The following is a 21,417-nucleotide window of genomic DNA, read 5'->3' as shown; positions in this document are numbered from 1 at the left end:
GTATTTACATTGTAATTAAAGGTCACCCTGTATGCAAAATGTCAATGGTAAAGTGATGCCCCCAAGTGGCATAATGATAAATTGCAATACTTTGACGGAAAAGTTAAGTACTATGTACATACAGCTGTTCCATTTTGTCAAGTTCTTTGATTAAATATAGAAATGTATATAATGAATCTGTATTTCATAGAAACTAGTCATAAGTCCTACAAACTTATTGTCATTCCTTTAACACTGATACCAAGGGATAGTCTGATACCTTCCTTATGAGCTCAAAAAGTTAAGGGTGTATCTGCAAAACAAAAAGGGAAGTCATATCTATTCTGATGTGTTGAAGGAATAGCATTCATACCATTATAGAAGTCTGTATAAAGTATTCATCTTCTAGCCACCTCTAACATTAACCAATTCCTTATGTTTGTGGTCTAGTATGTAAAGCATAATTTAAAACCTTATCTAGTCAAATTGCTTGGACAATGAGTAGTGCTAATAATGTGCTTTGCTCACAAACTAATGGTTCAGTATCAACACAAAAAAAAAAGAGTTTAGTTTCCTGCCTCATATATGCATTAAACATAACAATCACTGATGAATTGATATCTTAGCTAAAAGGTTCACATTCTGAGAACCAATTTATTTTGGACAGCCACAGAGATATAAAAGATGACAACAGAATTGTTACAATCTCAAGACACATCTTGAATAAGTTTTTTAAATTACATGCCTGGTTTCAGATTGGTTTATTTGGGAAATTTTTCTCATTTAAAAGTAATCCAGAAAAACCTTCCATTTATTAGAAGTTTCCAATTGCAGTCATTGGGTGGTAATTAGCTAAAGTTTTCTTAGGCTTCCTTTAATTATTCTTTTAACTTGGATTGTTTATAATTAAGGTGAATCTGTGCTGTTTTTGAGGAATAATTATGAGCAAGGCAATGTGACATCTAAATCTTATATAAATAGGCAGATATCGTATTCTTATTACAATCCTATGAGGTATTATACTCATTTTAAAGATAAGAAAACCAAAGCTCAGATTAGGAATGTACAGAATGTAGACTTCACATTAAGAACAGGCCTGGCTTTACTTTTTGTTCACATCCAAAGCTGGGATTTTAACAATGACACCATACTGCTCTGTTTCTATTACAGCATTCTAGAATTTTGTGAGTAGTCACATTCATACTTTTTTCTGATTTTAGCAAATAATTCCAAAAGCAATTGTCTACAAAGGTCGGCACGTAGTGGAAAGGTGTGATGCAGCTGTATGCCAGAGACAGTAAGGAGAGGTAGGAATGTGGCTAACTGGAGAATATGGAATTTGTCTAAGGGAGTAGCTGCTGCCTAGCTTTAGCAGTCCATTGTGGCTACACAGGAACTGATGTTAGCAAACGTTCCCAAATCTTTTTTTTCTAGAAAAGATGAAATGCTCAATTTATATGAGCTGCTCATTTAAAAATACTGACTACTGGCCAGGCGCGATGGCTCACGCCTGTAATCTCAGCACTTTGGGAGGCCAAGGCAAGAGGATCACCTGAGGTCAGGAGTTCAAGACCAGCCTGGCCAACATGGTGAAACCCTGTCTCTACTAAAAATACAAAAATTAGCCAGGTGTGGTGGTGCATGCCTGTAATCCCAGCTACTTGGGAGGCTGAGGTGGGAGAATCACTTGAACCTGGGAGGTGGAGGTTGCAGTGAGCCAAGATCGTGCCACTGCACTTCAGCCTGGGAGACAGAGTGAGACTCCGCCTCAAAAAAAAAAAAAAACTGATTAATTTACTAAAAAGAAACACTACCCAGGCCAAACAAAAGACATCTGAAAGCCACATGTGGCCAGTATGCAATATGTTTTAGATTCTGATGATGAATGATTCCTTTCCCAGAGATTGTGGACTAGACCTTCTGGTGCCAAATGATTTTTGTCCGTTATCCTCACCACTGGATTCATTCCACAAACATGTCTGCCATCTTCAGCTCCAGTCATGTGTTTTTTTAAGATTGGTTCAGGTACAAGAAAGATCACTAACAAATCACTTGCCAACCAACCAGCCCCAGCCCCCTTTCTTCTCTCTCATTCTCTTTCTCTCTCTCTTCCCCGCTGACTACAAACACACTCTCTCCACTCACTTATTATCTTAAGTCTAAAGGTTTCAAGTTTGATCTTCATACATCTTATTTTACATCCTTTTAATTAACTTTTTAGTCCTCCTGTGAATTATCTTAAAATTTTTCATATTCCTCATTAGTTGAAGAAACCAAAATTGGATATGATCCTACAGTGTAGTTTTTAGAAGTACTGGGTCTGGTTTAGGTCTTACTCTCAATGTTTCCATAAAGGTTATCTAATAATTGTCAGAAATTTATCATTCTATTCTAAATGGCTAGAAGAGCACCTCTAGGATTAAAGAGAAAAAATCCTTTTCAGCAGGAATCATAATGCATGTTCTAAGGACATCAGAAAAATGCCAGCTCTTTTATCATCCCTCATGTAGAAATTGACTAAAAACTATAAATTCTAGATAATTACAGCTTTTAAAAATTCTGGACAGAGACCATTTAAAAGATTGAGTTTTAAAACAAAGTAGTAACATCACTAACATTTACCTTTACAATTCCTATGACCTATGAAGATGTAGAAAAGTGTTTATCACACTGATTTTAAATCCACTCTTAAATATCCAATAGGCAAAAGCTGGAAGAACTTAGAGTAGCCTTAAAACCTTAGAAGAAAACAATATATTATGGGATGAAAATGTGGTCTTCTGGGGTTAAGGGCTGATATCTTGGATCATTCTTCCTTCTGCTTTCTGTTCCTCCTGTGTTTCTGATAGGCAAGTTTCTTACCCTAACTTCAGTTCCAACTTACTTTCCACTGCAGCAAATTAAAAAAACTTTACACAAAAACTAGAGGTTTATCTGTAAGGGAGGTACTGTCTGAAGCTATTAAGAGTTTTTCTCTACTATGAAAGTGTAGAGGGTCCGATCATAATCAAAAGAGACGAGGTGACAAGGGGGTCATTAACATAAGCTAATTTTAAATAGGAGTGTCCATTTGGTTTAAGTGTTTAATCTGACAGCTTTCTGACTACGGAATTTGAAAATCCTCGCCATGGAAAGCCCAAAGAAAATTAATACTGTTACTTTCTTTGGTATACCCTATTCATCTCAAATGTGAATAATTGTTTATTTGCATTTTGTAACATTTCTAAAAATAGTCATTATGAACAATTCTTATTTTCTCATTCAAGAAGTTCCAATCAAGTTAAGTGGAAGTAATATTGTCACTGAGACTGTGGCATGCCCAAACATCTTATTTTCACATAATCTATCCCATTTCTAGCTCCCTTCTTTAGGTCATTTGGATACTTTATTCACCTGCTGAAATGCCTTTAAACCTAATATGAAAGATTAATTAGGGAGCTTACCTATATTTATGAAATACTTGCTTTGGTATAAAGAGCAAAGTGGACATTACTCCATGTTCTTTTTTTTTTTTTGTCAGTCTTGCTCTGTTGCCCAGGCTGGAGGGCAGTGGCATGATCTCGGCTCACTGCAACCTCCACCTCCTGGGTTTAAGCAATTCTTGTGCCTCAACCTCCAAGTAGCTGAGATCACAGGCATGTACCACCCTGCCTGGCTAATTTTTGTATTTTTAGTAGAGACAGGGTTTTGCCATGTTGGCCAGGCTGGTCTTGAACTCCTCGCCTCAAGTGATCTGCCAACCTTGGCCACCCACAGTGCTGGGATTACAGGCATGAGCCACCATACCTGGCCTGCTCCATGTTCCTAATCAGCTAAGACCTGCAAACAAAAAGCAGCCTACTCAAGATTCATAGGAAGCATTTTTACTTACAATTCCTCTCCTCGTTTGGCTTTCTTGTCTGAAACCAGATAGACAGTTCCAAAACTTCCACTGCCAAGTTTTTGTTGAAGCACGTATCTTCTTGCAATCAAGGTCTTTGGATAAGTGGAAATGGCTGTTGATCCACTCACACACTTAGCTGCCTCTTGGAATTTCAGCATTGCTCCAAACAAGAGAGAACTGGTTCATTCATTTATAGAAACTTAACATTCCAGTCTCCTAAGAAATGGTCAAATTCATCCAGTGTTGGTCAGTTCCTTAAAGATGAAAAGTTAAAAGATCAGGTCTAAAGGTTGCTAAACGATGTCTAACAAAAAGTGTTAAGTGCAGTGATATCTGCACCTTGATCAGCAGACTGACACCATATTGGTTAACAACTTGAAAAAAAATGTTAAAAGGTAGAGATACCACAAATTCCAGAAGGCAATCTTTCACAGGAAGAGCCTCCCTTTGTACATTGAAATTTGGCAGAAGTGAATTATAGCCAACTTTCCACAAATTTCTGGGATGTACATCTGTTTTACAATGAGCAATCTCTTCATTTATTTAAGATTTATACTCCCCAACTACTTATAAAAGAATCCAAATACAAGAACATTATCACCTCCTTAAATCTATACATCTGCATCAACCTTTTTGTAATGCCCTCTTCTCACCTTATATTTACTTTGGTTTACAAAGAGTGAGTTAGGATTAAACAAGGAATTAGCAGGTGCTGTTTCCTTTAGATTTATTTTTTTCTGTAGATGTTAAACCACAGTTTTTGTATTTATTAGGACAGATGCAAAGAAGGATAAGGATTGAGAATTTTTTCCCATGCTCAGCAAATTCTAGTTTCTGAAGTTCCTATTGTACACATTGTGTATAATCTCTCTGGATTAAAAACAGGAAGAGTTACAAATTCAATTCAAACCTAAAATCCCATTTAATGTCAGTGGAATATAAATGCTACAGATAAATCTGTAATTCCTCAGGGAGCTATGAGACGTGGCAGTTATGAAAGGCAGGACTGTTTAGGCCGGGCGCAGTGGCTCACGCCTGTAGTACCAGCACTTTGGGAGGCCAAGGCGGGCGGATCACGAGGTCAGGAGATCGAGACCATCCTGGCTAACACGGTGAAACCCCGTCTAATACAAAAAAATTAGCCGGGCATTGTAGCGGGCGCCTGCAGTCCCAGCTACTCGGGAGGCTGAGGCAGGAGAATAGCGTGAACCCAGGAGGCGGAGCTTGCAGTGAGATCTCGCCACTGCACTCCAGCCTGGGCGACAGAGTAAGACTCCATCTCAACAAAAACAAAAACAAAAACAAAAACAAAAAAAAGAAAGGCAGGACTGTTTCATATGAGTAGGTACAAAGTAAAATCACTTTTATTTCATCAGAATGTTAAATGTTTTGTTAGTTATCAAGAAAAGTGTGCTTTTGTTTTAAATCTATATAGAAATAACATTTTAAATTGAAAACTGCCTACACCTTGAAGTTAGGTTTTCATATTCAACAATTCCAAAGCTATGAGACAAAAACCTAGTTTTTAAGGATGGTCAATGGGCTTTACGTGGTGGTGTCCGTCAACCACAAAAACTACTAGGGCAATTAACCACAAAAATCCTCAAAACAGAACATAAGTAAATGCCCATTTACAACATTTTCCTTCTTAAAATGTATGAATCAGTTAAGTTGTACCTAATACCAGTGAGATTAGTTACCAGCTTTTTCTTTTCCCTTCCAAAGACACGTTAGTAAAATCTGCTGGAAAAACAACTACAGAGCAGGCCTCTAAATATACCTTTTGTTTTTACTTCCCCTTCACTGTCATAAAAGTGATGCCGTCTGGCCATACTAAGCTGTTCAAATAAATATATGGACTTACAGACTTTCCAGCTGAAAAGGGTCCTTCAGGTCACTCAGTAATTCTCCTTATTTTAAAGATGAGATTAAGGTTCCTTTTAGAGAAGGACAGAATTAGGGACGGACAGAATGAGAAGTTCACTTCTAGCGGCTCTTATTTTAAAGGACAGTCTAAACCCAGCAGTGCTTAAGTAGTCTGGTCCAGGCTGCAGAAGACTCTGGGACTAGGTTCCCTCCCGCCCACCCTCACAGACTCAGCCCTGCCACCCCCATCCCAGTCCACTTTTAGGTCATCCATTCCATTAGTCTCCTCTGCGCAACCATAAACCTACCCAAGAATGTGTCGCATTGTCTAGATTCTAGAACTATCTGTTCACTTGACAACACGCTCCCCCTCGAGGTTTGAGTGAACTTGGGCACTGCGAACACATCTTCTTTATTTCTGCATCCCCAATCCCTGGCATACCTCCTGGCATATACTAGGTGTTTAACAAACCTTGTTAAGGCAAGTAAGTGTCCAGCAGATCAACTGCCGCCCAAAGGAGAGAAAAAAGGTTAGTTAAGAAAGCTAGATGGGAACTTGGAGAAAGTTACTACCTTGTGCAAACTACCCGTTCTCGGTGAAACAGATCTGGCTGGGGGCAAAAGACAACGGAAGGAGTATTTATCACAAGTTGAAAACCAGTAGTTATCTTCCCAGGTAATAAGAGGAAGGCAATTTGTCACCAGTTTCTGCTACAGCACAAATCTACCTTTAAAGTAAATCTTAACCTTAAGGTAAAACGAACAATTCCTTGCTTCTTCACCTTTTTAAACATTTACATTTTGGCAAAGCAGGTTAACGTTTATTGAGGGGCACTGAGACTGGAGTACATCCGGAGGTAAGATGTCCAGGAAAGCGAGGAGATCGCAGCCATGGCGTCCTAGAGATTCGGAACCCAGCCCGGGCAGCTTGAAACCATTACCTTCCCCCTCGCAGGGGAGCCTGGCTAGCCCCAAGGAGGACAGTTCGCTTTACCTTTCCCTGTCGTGGTCGGAGCGGCGCCCGGGGCTGCCCAAGTCTTGCGGGTAATCGGGCAGGCCTCAAACTAGGGGCAACCACACCCACCGAGCGCCAGACACCGCGGGCCACGGCTGTTTGGAACCGTGGCCAGGGAGACGGCGCGGGGCATACTGGGAAGTCGGGGCGAGGCGGCACCAAGGCGGAAGTGTTCGCCGACCCAAGTAGGCGGAGAAAGCAGAGGAGGACCGGCGGGCCAAGCTTTCCTAGCCTGACAGCAGCCATTTCGGAACGTACGTCCCAGCCCTCTTTAGCTACTTAGCGCCTCTGGGCCCGAGAACACCTGCTCCTTGGCTCAGTCTGGCGCCACCGGCATCACGGAACTGTACTTCCCAGAGACGTCACACCGGGAGACTTCCGATTCCCGCTCTTGAGATTGGACTCTCACGTGCAGGAGCCAGTCCTCGCTGGGCTCTAGCGGGCTTCTGATGGAGGAGCTACTCCTCTGGGAGGACAGAGTAGGTGGGCTCTGCTGCAGGTCCGGGCGGCGGGTTGTGAGGGCCGAGGTGGCACGGTGTATGAAGGCCTGTGTTTGAAGACTTAGGTCAGACCTTTTGCCCGCCTTTCCCCTATGCAGCTCTATGCAACTGTCTGTGCAAGGTCCTGTAATTTGCGTAGGACGCCTTGACACAGTCTCTGCTTATGGACGCTTTACAAAACTATCTTGCAAAGAAATAAGTACTATACAGGATAAGGTTCTGAGATACTGACAGGGCTGGAACTAGGGTGAGATAAGTGTAAAATGTAAATGGATGCCAATAAAATTCAGTAATCAAGGTAAGTTTTAATGCAATCTCTAAAAATCAAAATTATAGCAAAAAAAATCCATGACTGACAAAATGTCACGATTTTAAGTAATAGTAACAGTACCGTGCTGTGCCATATTGAAGCCCGAGGTGTCAAAAGAAAAACCATCAATTCTGATCCTGCGAGTTAAGTTAGCCAGGTGAGGAAGCGTAGCTGGGCCAGATATGCAAAATAAGATGATGAAAAGAGCTCGTGGTTAGGGGTGTAACTGGATAGAGGGGTTCCTAGAGGCATGAAGCAGTTTTCCTTATACCAAAAACTATGCCAATTAAGAAGGGCCCACAAATCCAAAGCCTGAAAGAAGTTCCGTGACTGATTGTCAATACAAAAGAAAAACTTGATCCTTATCATAGGTCCTACACACCTTACTTTACTGAAGCCCAAATGCTTTGTGATTATGAGATGAATATGATATCTTTTTTTTAGCTTAGGACTTTTTACTTTGACCCCACAAAACAAATACTCTGTGCTGTAAGATGTTGACTATTACCACTTAAGAATCAAAGTTCACAGAACTTCTATACTGGTGTGTCAGTAATGGACTTCAACTGATTTTTCTTTAGAATTAGCAGCAGCCTCTGTCACCATCCAAAGATTACAACCCATGAAACCATTGAATTTGTGCCTTGTATCAGAAAGCAAAGGAGAATGAAAAAGCACAGCTAACATTGCTTGAGGATCTAGGTAAGAATTTATGATGTTGATATCTATGTTCTATCTAAAGAGCACTTCATAACATTTGCTATTGATTTAATGGTGCTGGAAGCAATGACTTGGTGCCCCATAACTAGCATCAATTGAAAATGTTTTCTGTTGTTTTAAACAGGCGATTAATTCTTTAGACTGTCATCATGGGTATCCGAGGACTAATGAGTTTTGTGGAAGATCATAGTAATGAGTTCTTCACTGATTTGAAGTTGCGGGACACAAAAATTGTCATTGATGGTTATGCTCTTTTCCACCGTCTTTGCTTCAGTTCAAACTTGGATCTCCGGTATGGAGGGGACTATGATTCTTTTGCAGATGTTGTACAAAAATTCTTTGAATCACTGTTTGCTTGTAATATATGCCCATATGTTGTATTAGATGGAGGATGTGACATTTCAGATAAAAAGCTTACAACTTTAAAGGATAGAGCTAGAGAGAAGATCCAGATGGCCCATTCCCTTTCTGTTGGTGGGAGTGGGTACGTATGTCCCTTACTCATCCGGGAAGTATTCATACAGGTTTTGATCAAGCTGCGGGTGTGTTTTGTCCAGTGCTTTTCAGAAGCAGATCGGGACATTATGACACTTGCTAACCATTGGAATTGCCCTGTGTTATCATCAGATAGTGACTTTTGCATTTTTGACCTGAAAACTGGGTTTTGCCCATTGAATAGCTTTCAGTGGAGAAATATGAACACTATTAAGGGCACACAAAACTATATCCCTGCCAAATGCTTTTCCCTTGATGCATTCTGCCATCACTTCAGCAATATGAATAAAGCTCTACTACCTCTCTTTGCGGTGCTATGTGGAAATGACCATGTTAATCTACCCATCATGGAGACATTCTTAAGTAAAGCGCGTCTTCCTCTTGGAGCTACCAGTTCTAAAGGGAGGAGACACCACCGAATCCTGGGACTTCTGAATTGGTTGTCTCATTTTGCCAACCCTACCGAAGCACTAGATAATGTTCTGAAATACCTCCCAAAAAAGGATCGAGAAAATGTTAAGGAACTTCTCTGCTGTTCCATGGAAGAATACCAACAGTCCCAGGTGAAGCTACAGGACTTCTTCCAGTGTGGTACTTATGTCTGTCCAGATGCCTTGAATCTTGGTTTACCAGAATGGGTATTAGTGGCTTTAGCTAAAGGCCAGCTATCTCCTTTCATCAGTGATGCTTTGGTCCTAAGACGGACCATTCTTCCCACACAGGTGGAAAACATGCAGCAACCAAATGCCCACAGAATATCTCAGCCCATCAGGCAAATCATCTATGGGCTTCTTTTAAATGCCTCACCACATCTGGACAAGACATCCTGGAATGCATTGCCTCCTCAGCCTCTAGCTTTCAGTGAAGTGGAAAGGATTAATAAAAATATCAGAACCTCAATCATTGATGCAGTAGAACTGGCCAAGGATCATTCTGACTTAAGCAGATTGACTGAGGTAAGTATTTGTAATACTAATGAAATTTTTGTAAAGTACTTTACAGGATACAAAGTGCTGTCTTCTATATTAGTTCACTTACTATAACAAACTGATGAGGTTGAGTGCTATCTTGCCCTCATGTCGTAGCTAAGAAATCTAGAACTTGAGTGAACTAGGTAATGTCTTAGCCAGAAAGTGTCAGTGCTAGGACTCAAACCTAGCTCTTTTAGCTCTAAATCTACCATTTCCACTGTACTTCAGTAGTCTGTGTTATCGTCACAGTTATTACTACTATATTGTTATTACTACCAGGTTAATACTAGCTATCAATAGAATGGGTTACGTGGCTGAAAAAAAAAGGAAAAAAATTCACAACTGCAAAAAAAGTGTATAGACACTAATCATAGGCACAACATCTCAGACTACATCGGATTTCAGATAAGGTTAGTACTGATGCTAAGGTCTAATTTTTTAACTTTTATTAATGAATACCTTTTTTAAAATAGGTTTTTGTGTCATTATGGTTATTTGCCTAGTTTGATACAGAAAACATGACTCTTAGTCTAACTTAGTGTTGCTTAAACCTGAGTAACACCCAGACCACCTTTTCAAGGAGAAAAAAATTCTCATGGATCCCAGTGTTGTCTTTTTATATTACATATATATTTAAAATTACAAATAGATATGAAACTATGCTGATAAAAGAACTAGATTTAGACATTAAATAGAGATAACTTAAAAAAAAAACAATTGCAATGCCCATTAGGGGATCTTCTTAGATCCAATGAAATATTCAGTCTCACAAAACTCACAGACCACACGTGGCACCAGTCTACTTAAGGATGTAGGACGGCAACCACAGCTTCCCAGTGGATTTAAGTCAGGTCTTCCTTTTCTGTCAGAGTTCTCCCAGCACTGTTATCAGTCTACACCAAAGCTTTATCACCATTGGTGATTTTGTCCCCCAGAGGACATCTGGCAATGCCTGGAGACATTTTTGTTGTCCCTACCTAGGGAGTAGAAGGGGTAGTGGTTGCTATCGGTATCTAGTGGGGAGAGGCCAAAGATGCTGCTAAATTTTACAACCTGTAAGTCTTACAGTGCACAGGAAAGTGTCCCATAACAAAGAATCTCTAGCCCAAAATATCAGTAGTGCCATTCCCTGGGCTATACAGCTGACCAGGAACTAGCCTCTTAGCCTCCTCTTCAGTCACATCTCAGACAGGAGGAGATGAATGTCATAGTGAATGAGTGCAAGAGCCTTCTTGGCATTGGGCAGTGAGTCCAAGAGCCTTCTTGGCATTGGCGAGTGACTGTTAAACCCCCAGGGTTTCTTTGGTTGGGGGTGAAGAAAATGTTTTGGAATTAGTGATGGCTGCACAAGTTTATAAATATACTAAACCAAGGCAAGATGGCTCATGCCTGTAAGCCCAGCACTTTGGAAGGCCAAAGTGGGAGGATCACTTGAGGCCAGTAGTTCAAGACCAGCCTGGGCAACACAACAAGACTGTCTCTACTAAAAAAAAAAAAAAAAATTTTTTGCCAGGCATGGTGGTACAGCTACTCAAGAGGCTGAGGTTGGAGGATTGCTCGAGCCCAGGAGGTCAAGCCTGTAGTGAGCTATGATTGTGCTCCCTGTTGAGCAAAACCCTGTCTCTAAAAATATATATACACTAAACCCACTGAATTGTATGCTTTAAAAGGATGACTTTTATGACATATGAATTATACCTCAGTTAGATAAAGGAGAAGAAAAGGTTTCAGTAGCTTAAAAGCCCCGTTCCCTATAGGATCCAGTCTTTCTTATAATAATTCCATAAACATAGCTAGGTCCCTGCAAGGGACATCCTACTTACAAGACACTGCACTCAGGGAAGCCCCAAGATATGGTGTCCCCATCAGGTGTTTATAGTTCATTTATATATAGTTTAAGCTTAGATGCAATTTTATAAGTCATTTTTATAATGCTTGGTAACACAACTGACAATCTACCTTTAGCACATTTCCAGGGGTACAAAACTAGAAAGTGGAGCGTAAGTCAGTCTCAAACAAGGGATTTATTAAAACTTTACCCACACCAATAAAATTCAAACTAGCTACATTATTAATGTTTTGCTGAAATTACATTTCTACTCAAGCATAAATGGTGCTGTTGGGGAGTTTTTTAAAAAAAATGTAATGGCTTTACTGAGAAATAAGTAGTGTACAGTAAAGTGCACATAAAGTGTGTACTTTGATGAGTTTTGAGATGTCTACATCTGTGAAGTCATCCTACAATTAAAATAATCAATGTATCCATAACCCCTAAAGTTTCATCTTGTTCCTTTGCAATTCATGCTTCCTTGAGTATAAACACAGTAAAGTGCCCAAATAATCGTACAGCATGATAAATTTTTGCAAGGTCTATACATCCATGCAAAGAAGATCCAGATGAATCATTATCGCCACCCTAGAAGCTTCTCCTAGTGTCTGGTTCCAGTCACTCGCTCTGCAACTCTCTATAATCACTCTCCTGTTTAACAACACAATAGTTTTAACTGAATTATTACTTTAGAAATGAATTCTTTCATCTGGCTTTTATTCCACATGAGATTCATTCACATTGCTGTGAGTAGTTGATCATTCATTTCTCATTGCTGTAACATTTTTCTATTTTGGTATATTACCATTATACACTTAAGAACATTTTTTTTCATTACACAGCTTATGAGCATTTGGGTTCTTTCCAATCTTCCATTTCCATGTGTTCATTAGCCATGTGATACTCTATTATATGAAGTTTCTGTACAGTTTTTTGCTCATTTTTATCATATACGGGTCCTTTGTCAAATAACATATTGTGAATAGTCTCTCCCATTGTTTATTCACTCTTTAGTATGTTTTGATGAACAGAAGTTCTTAATATACTCTAATTTAAATTTTTATTATTTATGGTTACCACTTTTGTGAACTGCTTAGGAAACTGCCTACTCCACGGTCATGAAAATGTTTTTTTGCTGTTCACATTTAGATCTATAATGTATCTAGAATTGGTTTTTTGTGGGTGCGTATGGTGTGAAATAGGGATCAGGATACCTTTTCCCCCCACATGGAAATCCAACTGAATCCATGAGTATAGCAGGCTGCTTATATTCCTTGCTAAGTAGAGATGACTTAAGTGTTCTCATCATTTACCTGGATTCAAAATAGAGTGAAATTTTAGTTCATTCTCTGCGCTCTGCTATCACCCAGCTTTCTCTTGGCATAAACTTATCAATTCTGAATTTAGCTCAGTGCTAATGGTTCTAATTAGCCCCTGAAAATTATAAATGTACCAGGTGCTCATGTGATTCCAAACACAAATGCAAGTACAAGTATAGAAACCTTGTGATAGTACCTATTCATTTTGTTTTTTAGATCTTGTAATACATTATCTGCTTTGGCCAGCTGTTGTTAATAAAAACTTTATAGTCTCTCATTTAATTCCCACAATAACCACATGGGATAGGGTTTCATTTTGGTTATGTTAGTTGCAATGGACAGAGCACCATTCAAGTTAACCAATGGGAGGTTAATCATAAGGAGACACAAAAGTGGATCATTCTTAAGGAGTAAGGCAGCCAAGACCAGTCTCTCTCTGGGCATCTCTGCCTCTCGGGGCAGCTGCTTCTGCAGGCTTGTGCTTTCGCTCCCCCTGGGGAAGAGGGAAAGTAGTTGTCACATGGGATAAAACCTAACTAACGTTAAGGGCTGTGAGTTGAGTACTTCCCCTTTTGGAAGGGACTGTGGACTGGTGGGTTTGATGAAACATCTTATACAAGTCATTATAATGACCATTTTACAGATAAGTCAGACAGACTGTAGAAAAGGTCAGAAACCTTTCGACCAAAGCCATAGGGTTAGTGCAGAGCGGAACATCTCTGAAGTCAAAGCCCAGACTGCTTTGTTTATGAAAAGTTGTAACTTGGCTCTATAATTCAGTAATTTAAATATATATCAGAAAAGAGTTGGTGTATTTTCTTAGCTCTACTTAGTGCATTTTAAAAACCAGTTTAAGAGTTTAGTTTCCACTTTACTTAAAATTTAAGTAGTTAAAACTACTTCCAGTAGGGGTAATTGGTTATACTATAAAGTTCTTTGCATATTTCTAATTTTAAAATTTGTATCACAATATTATTAAAAGCAGTATTTAGAAATAATCGTACTATTTAAAGTTTTCATGCATTAATGATAAAACTATTTTGTCATTTATGATGTGTTTTGTTTCAGGTTAATATCTTTAGTCTCAGCTGTCAACCACTCTTTCTACTAACTAGATGTTACATGCTGAGAAATGTTATTACCATCTCAACTTTCCAGAAAGCAGAAAATCTTTTTCTGGCTGTGTGCAGACACTAGGAATACAACTTTTCTTTTTCTTAAAGTTTGATTATAAAGTCCCCCAGAAGATGACCTTTTAATATTCCTGAGTGCATGACCTGTAAGGTCCCCATTCTGGTTCTTACAAGGTCTTGGTAATTCATTAAGGTAAAATTATTTCAACAAGAACCTCAGTGCTCTTATAGCTGTTTTACTTCTGAGCTTTTATTTGAAGTACACGCTAAACCATGAAGTAAAAGTATGGCGTGTTACTCCAAGCACAATGCAAGTAGTCCTTAAAATATTCCTATCTCCCTTGAATATACCTCTAATCTACAAGCAGCCACCCTGGGACAATCCCTGTGTGTCTTTTATGCAAAGACAATAAAGCATTCAACAGGGAAGGGACATGAGACAGGACCCAAACAAATAGAGTATATGCCACATAGGGTTCCTAAAAGCAACGTTTGTCTTCTGGAGGCAATTAGTAATGGCATCATGCTGAAGGCAAATGCCTGTTGCACAGGCACATACAGGTGGTGTTGAGTATACAGCTTTGTTTCTCAAAGTAGAATACTTGGGCTGCTAGTTAAAATGTATATTCCTCCTGGGCTCTCTCTCAGATTAGTCAATCAAAATTTATGGAGTAGGGCCTAAGGATTGAATTTTTAATGAGCTTCCCAGGTGACGTGCACTGAAGATGCTCACCAGCGTATACAAAGAGGATGGAATGACATAAGTAAAGGTGTAGGAGTAGGCAGTACACCCATTCAACCAACCATATTTATAAAGCATCTTATTAATGTTCTAAATGCTGTGAGTGTGGCTGATTTTTTTTCCCACAAGAAGATAAGTTTAACAGCTGACAGAAGTTTCAGTAGCATTAAATCTCTTCATGCTATGGTGGAAAAAAGAAATAACAGACATTTCCCAAAGTAACTTGCAGGATACTTGGTGTGTATTTTCAGCTCTCCTTGAGGAGGCGGCAGATGCTTCTGTTAGAAACCCTGAAGGTGAAACAGACCATTCTGGAGCCAATCCCTACTTCACTGAAGTTGCCCATTGCTGTCAGTTGCTACTGGTTGCAGCACACCGAGACCAAAGCAAAGCTACATCATCTACAATCCTTACTGCTCACAATGCTAGTGGGGCCCTTGATTGCCATAATCAACAGCCCTGGTAGGTAACTGGAAATTACAGGAGTATATTGTGGCATGTTGCTTGCAAACTGTTTACTCGAGTTTACACAAACAAAAAAGTATTCTTGGATTATTTACTCCCATTAATTGTATCACAACTTAGATGTGGAGGCACCAAAATATCATTCATTCATTGGTAAATATTTTTTAACACTTCATGTGCCAGGCTCAGTGCTGGAGGGCTTGAATCTTAAGTATACAGCAGTGAGATGTGTTGGGGTACTGCCAACTTCCATCTGTTTGGTGGCACCTACTCCTTTAACTTGTGAATTGTGACAGTGTATTTTGCCAGCTGCATTTTGTATTCCATGTTACCTATCCAGTTATTAGCACAGCAGCAACGTCATCACAAGAAACTTGCCCAGAAGTGAAACTTATCTAAATACCTACAACCACTACATTCTTGCTTATACATCTTTTTATTCCTTTTTCTCTGCTGTAGGTTTCAATTAGTATGTAAGTAGTGATGGCAGAAATAGTAATTTGTCCTTTTTTTTTTTTTTTTTTTTTTTTTTTGAGATGGAGTCTCACTCTGTTGCCTAGGCTGGAGTGCAGTGGTGCAATCTTGGCTCACTGCAGCCTCTGCCACCTGGGTTCCAGTGATTCTTCTGCCTCAGCCTTCCGAGTAGCTGGGATTACAGGTGCCTGTCACCGCGCCCAGCTAATTTTTGTATTTTTAGTAGAGACGGGTTTTCACCATCTTGGCCAGGCTGGTCTTGAACTCCTGACCTTGTGATCCACCCGCCTCAGCCTCCCAAAGTGCTGGGATTACAAGCATGAGCCACCGCGCCCGGCCAGTAATATCTCTTAAATACACTGAGGCAAGTTCATCTGCATATAATACCAGGTGAAGTAAATGCTGAAACACTGGGACACTTTAATACTTCAGTGGAATATCCTCTTTAAAGATTATGAATGCTCTAACACTGTATAAACATGCATAATAATTATACTCTGGAATAGTACTATCTAATATGGTGGCTACTAGCCACACATGGCCAAAGTTAAATTCCATTTAAATTAAAAATTCAGCTTTTCAGTCACACTAGCCACACTTCAAGTGTCAGGTAGTTACATATGGCTATAGGCTAGCCTACTGTATTGGACAGCACTGCAGAAAGTTCTATTAGATCGTGCTACTCTAGTTTACTATTTTAATAAGTTAGATAAAAGAATGAAACAGCATGGATTCCTGTTTCTAAAGTATTAAGGCTCAAGCTTGACAGCTGTCAGAGGGACTGTTGTTATATGACAGCCAACTTAACACAAAACAAATCAGTTAAGTCCCACTGCTGCTTTATGAACACAGGTTTAGAGTATTTCCTCTGATTGAATAATAAATACAGTATAAGAAAGCTCTCAGAGCACAAGCCTATTAAGTTTTTACCTGAGTCCAAGAGAAGGGGCATGTCAAGGGTCTGTTTCTTTTCTTTTAGGAAATGTGGACCCTGTACCCAGGCAGGCTCAGTGTCTTGCTCCTCGCTAGTTGGTAAAAGGTGGGCCTCCTTTTTATTATTTTCAAATTGGTCCAGATGTTATTTTGTGCACCCCTGCCCAAACAAATCTGTAGAAACTTACAGCTAAAAACACACAACATTCCTTATTTCCTAGGATTGTTGCTTCTTGCCCCTTATCCTCTACTATGAAAAGAAAATGATTATTTGCCAAATTCTCCAAGTCATACTTTAGCTTCCTCCTATAAAACACAGAGGTCAAAATGTGTTTTGAACACACAGGTTGTTTCTTTAACACAAATGCACCACAGCTTGGGAGTTTCGGTGAAAGAGAACAGTAAAGAGAATAATATTTAATAGTCATTTGTATTTTTCATAGACACAGATTTAGGGTTTAGAGAATTCAAATGCAGACATGTTTATGGTCAGGTAGTAGACCAGTGGAAAAGATCTTATTTCAGGGAAAAAGTAAATTCCGATGGGTTGAATAAAGTTAGGTCATCATTAAAAAGACAGTTCAGTATCAATATTTCAATTTATACAGCAAGGCATTTATGAAGCCAGAAGAGAAAAACATCTTAGTTTTTTTAAATTAATTTCTTTCTTTATAGAATTTGTAGTATATGTGGAGAAAATGAAAAGCTGTTACAGTGCTTTTAGAAATACTGCCCTTGGGCTGTTTCTTTATTTAGGTAAGGAAGAGCTGCAGGAAGATGGTGCTAAGATGTTGTATGCAGAGTTCCAAAGAGTGAAGGCGCAGACACGGCTGGGCACAAGACTGGACTTAGACACAGCTCACATCTTCTGTCAGTGGCAGTCCTGTCTCCAGATGGGGATGTATCTCAACCAGCTGCTGTCCACTCCTCTCCCAGAGCCAGACCTAACTCGGTAAGCACCATGGGAAACTTTAGTTCAGATGGAAGCACACAAAAGTAAATACAGTATTTTCACTTATATTTAAAGCAACAAAGTTACTTAAAAAAAAAAACCAAAACAAAAAAAAACTAATCTTAATGTAATTGATTTTGAGTCACTGTTACAGCTGAAGAGCTGGAAACGGGAAAAATATTAAATTATTTCCATATTCTCAAAGAATGTTTCCATGATTCAATCCAATTTTAAAAAATCAGTTCCTTTAAGTAATACATTAATATGTGGGAGAGGGGAGGCAATCATTGGTAGGATACAACTCTCTCCTTTCCTCTCAGTCTTTAAATGTCACTTTGTAGAGCCTTTTTCTGATAACCCACCCTAGTGAGACACACTGTCTACCCTCATTCACTCTAGTCCTGTTACTCTATTTTTTTTTAATTGCATTTCTTACCACTTGGCATATGGCTTACTCATTCATTCAGATATTAAATGCCTACCCTGTGCTAGGGTGTAGGGACAAAAACAGAATCTCAGCTCTAATGGAGCTTTCATTCTAAGTGAGATGATGAGTAGATGCCCAAGTGAACTTAACCTAGGATGTTTGCTTTACCAGGCAAGAAGGACAATAAGGGAGTTGAGCCTATGTGCCACAGAGTAATTATAATGTTTGTCTGTGGAGTTTAAGCTGGGTATGATAAAAAGAAGTGACAGCAGCAGTAGGGTGTGGAGCAGTGAAAAAAGTGATAGGATCAATGGATTGGACATCTTGGTAATTGACCATCCAGGAGGTACTTGAGGGAGAGATGAAGATAAAAAGGAGATAGATTGTGTTTTGTTTGTCTCTCCACTCAGATGTAAACTCTGTGGGGGGAGGGGCTTGTCTATTTTATTTGCTGTTGCAGCCCCAGTGCCTTCAATACTTTGAATGAGGATATATGGACGCATACAAAATATGGTGGGACTTTACATGTTTCAAGGTAAAAAGCCTCCTGGCAGTAAACAGTGTTGTTAATATATCTCTGGGCCTTATATCTGAGCTAACACAAATAAGACTAATTGGCCTTTGACCCCTGGATTCTTTATTTCTTTCGTTTAATAATTTAAGGCCATTCTTGACTGGATCCTCTTTAGTTACCACAAATCCTTTTAAAACAAAACAGGAAATGCAAAACAAAACAGTTCTCTTAATAATGATTTAAACAGCAGGATTGTTCTTGAATCTTAGCATAACCAAGGCTTTTTACACAGAGATGTTACACTGATTAAATGATGGTTCTACATGGATTGCTAAGGTACCAGTTTATCAGCTTTGTCCATAATAAACTTGTGGATTCCAATTAATCCCATCTTCTATTTGTGAAGTAGGTTTTTAGTCTCAGTGAATGACCTTGCAAATGATGCCAATAAATTTTCTCATATTCTAACAAACTGCCTGTTTGGTTTATCAGGGTCCTTTTAAATTCCTTTTCTTTAAAATTAAAGTGTTTGTTAAAGACACCTGCTCAGTCTGGGGCTAGCTGCAAAACCACTAAGCATGCATCACGTAATTTGTTGATGAAAAGTTTTTAAGTATCACCAGCAAAGAATCTTTGTCATACCAGCTCAGTTCCTTCCTTCAAAGAACAGATTATTCTTAAGTAATTTCGATAATATTATAGAGCAATAAGAGCTCTCATTGTTTAGATGCATTTGTTGAAGCTATGTCAATGGTAGTTATCCTGTTGCACTGAATTACTTCTTTAACAACATACTTTTTTCTTGCTTTGAACAGACTGTACAGTGGAAGCCTGGTGCACGGACTATGCCAGCAACTGCTAGCATCGACCTCTGTAGAAAGTCTCCTGAGCATATGTCCTGAGGCTAAGCAACTTTATGAATATCTATTCAATGCCACAAGGTCATATGCCCCCGCTGAAATATTCCTACCAAAAGGTAGATCAAATTCAAAAAAAAAAAGGCAGAAGAAACAGAATACCAGCTGTTCTAAGAACAGAGGGAGAACCACTGCACACACCAAGTGTTGGTATGAGGGAAACAACCGGTTTGGGTTGTTAATGGTTGAAAACTTAGAGGAACATAGTGAGGCCTCCAACATTGAATAAAACTCAGTTTGCATCAAACTAGATGTATTTAATATAATCCTTACTTAAAATTCTTCCGTTACCACCCTTGAAACAATTAGCTTTTTCTTTAGGACTGACCTGTTAGGGGATAAACATCACAATAATCTGAATTCCAAGTTATTTTGTATTTTGTTTTTAATAAATACAACCTGATTTAAGAAGCTTCTGTATTTCTAAATATGTTTGAAACCATGTTTATACTTCTCATGTTCCATTTCAGCAAGTTAATGGTAATATAGTCTATATGCTTTAAATTGCAGCAATTTAGCCAGCTACATTCTCAGAAAGTAGAAGTCTCACTCAATTATTGCCTTTAAGTAGCAGCTGGTTATCATTTCAAAAAGTTTTAAAAACAGTTTCCTCTTTGTACTTTAGTATGAAGTCTGGCCAATGAAAGTTAGAAGTGAGGATGCCAGACAGAAAACTGTCTCTACTAAAAGTAAGTACTTAGTCAATGAGACCATGACAGGATTGAAGAGCACTTTAGGTGCACTCCAGGTTTTAAAGGAGAAGTTGAAACTAATGGCTTCAGCCAAATAAGAAACAGCATCCTGAGCTGTTAGACCTGGAGAAGGAGGAAACAGTGAGAAGTGAAAATATCAAGAGATATATGCAGCAATACCAGACCCTATGCCCTCTTTATACTACAGATTTTGACCCATTAATGAGATGTGAAAGTATTTAATGAGTCATACCCAGCATTTTTTAATGAAAAAGTTAGAATGGAAAATATCAGATATACATATCATGTATTAGGTGATTGTGTAAAATATATTCCTTACTGTGGACTGTAGGGAAGAAGTTTAAAAGGTACTGCTCTGGAAAATACTGCCAAATAGAGGCTGCTAAAATTAGAAATACCCAGAGTTCTGAAAGTGCCGGCCAGTTCCAAATGAGAACTTGAAAATAAAGAGAACCAAGTAGAATAAATGCATTGGGCAAGATCTGAAAATATACTCAACCTTCATTTTACTTGTATTCATACAAATTGTGTTCTTCCTTCTGTACTCTCCCACTGGTATATTCCATCAGGAATAGCCCTAAAGGTAGCTTTAAAGCTGCCATTTTGAGCAGGCCTATGTACAGTTCCTAATATCTGATAAACAATTTTCTTTACTTTACTAGAATTACCATACTCTTAGAGAAATAAGCCCAGCATCAGCCAGTGTCAAACACACACCTGCCAAGTGTTGACTTTTACAAAAGGCACAATAAATCATTTGCCCCTAGAGTATTCAACCCTAACAATTACTTTGTTAAATAAGAGTTCTTGAAATAAGGAAATTTTTATTATTTTCAGAGGATTGCATGGGAGTTCCTCAGTAAGGTTATTTTTATAACCTTACTAACAACCATCTCCAAAGAGATGGTTACTCCCAGAAGAATCAAGAAAAGAGTAGTCAAGTACATCTATTTTTGAGAAGAAATGTTACTGGAAAATAAGGTATCTAATGAGGACTATAAACATGTGAGACCGGTGCTGGATGTAGTGGCTCACACCTGTAATCCCAGCACTTTGGAAGGCCAAGGCAGGCAGATCATTTGAGGTCAGGAGTTCAAGACCAGCCTGGCCGACATGGTGAAACCCCGTCTCTACTAAAAATACAAAAATTAGCCGGGCATCATGGAGGGCACCTGTAGTCCCAGCTACTCAGGAGGCTGAGGCGGGAGAACTGCTTGAACCCGGGAGACAGAGGCTGCAGTGAACCGAGATGGCGCCACTG

General features: G+C 39.1%; 3 protein-coding genes across 75 annotated transcripts in view, besides 4 other annotated features; 1 reads left to right on the top strand and 2 right to left on the bottom strand.

Annotated features, from left to right (window-relative positions):
* Positions 1 to 6,852, bottom strand: part of NEK11 (NIMA related kinase 11) — a 323,589-nt gene extending 316,737 nt beyond the window's left edge. For 21 of the 54 annotated variants that reach the window (XR_001740271.2, NM_001353048.2, XM_017007208.2 and 18 more), the window contains exons 1-2: positions 6,723 to 6,852; positions 3,851 to 4,116 (exon numbers count right to left, since the gene is read on the bottom strand). Coding sequence is in view for 42 of the 54 variants with exons in the window: in XM_017007208.2 (XP_016862697.1) it covers positions 3,851 to 4,020 (170 nt within the window). In the remaining 12 variants the exon portion in view is untranslated. The other 33 variants (NM_001353033.2, NM_001353040.2, NM_001353041.2 and 30 more) reach the window with 8 other exon arrangements.
* Positions 6,543 to 6,732: an enhancer, noted in NCBI's record as "active region_20529". NCBI's record gives its function as "activates an Ori minimal core promoter by ATAC-STARR-seq in GM12878 lymphoblastoid cells {active_cell/tissue: GM12878}" and the evidence as "EXISTENCE:reporter gene assay evidence [ECO:0000049][PMID:35858748]".
* Positions 6,813 to 6,872: an enhancer, noted in NCBI's record as "active region_20528". NCBI's record gives its function as "activates an Ori minimal core promoter by ATAC-STARR-seq in GM12878 lymphoblastoid cells {active_cell/tissue: GM12878}" and the evidence as "EXISTENCE:reporter gene assay evidence [ECO:0000049][PMID:35858748]".
* On the top strand, positions 6,904 to 19,854 carry ASTE1 (asteroid structure-specific endonuclease 1). Of its 5 annotated transcripts, none has more exons than NR_110229.2 (7): positions 6,904 to 7,222; positions 8,135 to 8,255; positions 8,398 to 9,724; positions 15,013 to 15,223; positions 16,680 to 16,739; positions 17,390 to 17,585; positions 19,342 to 19,854. NR_110229.2 is itself a non-coding variant. In NM_001288950.2 (7 exons), exons 3-7 carry the CDS (start codon positions 8,423 to 8,425, stop codon positions 19,670 to 19,672), a joined length of 2,115 nt encoding a protein of 704 aa, NP_001275879.1. In that variant the 5' UTR covers positions 6,904 to 6,997; positions 8,135 to 8,255; positions 8,398 to 8,422; the 3' UTR covers positions 19,673 to 19,854. The 5 variants fall into 5 exon arrangements, 4 of the variants coding, with proteins under 4 accessions (NP_001275879.1, NP_054784.2, XP_024309254.1 ...); NM_001288950.2 differs by lacking the exon at positions 16,680 to 16,739 and adding an exon at positions 18,473 to 18,547 and having other exon boundaries at positions 6,904 to 6,997; NM_014065.4 differs by lacking the exon at positions 16,680 to 16,739.
* Positions 7,013 to 7,252: an enhancer, noted in NCBI's record as "active region_20527". NCBI's record gives its function as "activates an Ori minimal core promoter by ATAC-STARR-seq in GM12878 lymphoblastoid cells {active_cell/tissue: GM12878}" and the evidence as "EXISTENCE:reporter gene assay evidence [ECO:0000049][PMID:35858748]".
* Positions 13,389 to 13,498: a silencer, noted in NCBI's record as "silent region_14736". NCBI's record gives its function as "represses an Ori minimal core promoter by ATAC-STARR-seq in GM12878 lymphoblastoid cells {active_cell/tissue: GM12878}" and the evidence as "EXISTENCE:reporter gene assay evidence [ECO:0000049][PMID:35858748]".
* The window catches only part of ATP2C1 (ATPase secretory pathway Ca2+ transporting 1), a 166,118-nt gene continuing 161,717 nt past the window's right edge, over positions 17,017 to 21,417 (bottom strand). For all 16 annotated transcript variants that reach the window (NM_001378511.1, NM_001199180.2, XM_047447960.1 and 13 more), the window contains one exon: positions 17,017 to 17,577. In NM_001378511.1, coding sequence (NP_001365440.1) covers positions 17,482 to 17,577 — 96 coding nt within the window. In that variant the 3' untranslated portion in view covers positions 17,017 to 17,481. The remainder of the gene's footprint in view (positions 17,578 to 21,417) is intronic.

Source organism: Homo sapiens, chromosome 3, assembly GCF_000001405.40.
Source record: "Homo sapiens chromosome 3, GRCh38.p14 Primary Assembly".
Taxonomy (NCBI): domain Eukaryota; kingdom Metazoa; phylum Chordata; class Mammalia; order Primates; family Hominidae; genus Homo; species Homo sapiens.
The sequence above is the reverse complement of the archived record's forward strand: the minus strand, read 5'-3'. Positions and strand labels throughout refer to the sequence as shown.

Bases quoted from the DNA above. Each gene is read 5' to 3' on its own strand.
- ASTE1 (NM_001288950.2), top strand. From the start codon at position 8,423: ATGGGTATCCGAGGACTAATGAGTTTTGTGGAAGATCATAGTAATGAG. The intron at 9,725-15,012 runs GTAAGTATTTGT...GTGTATTTTCAG, and splicing joins ACTTAAGCAGATTGACTGAG to CTCTCCTTGAGGAGGCGGCA. The intron at 18,548-19,341 runs GTAAAAAGCCTC...TGCTTTGAACAG, and splicing joins GGGACTTTACATGTTTCAAG to ACTGTACAGTGGAAGCCTGG.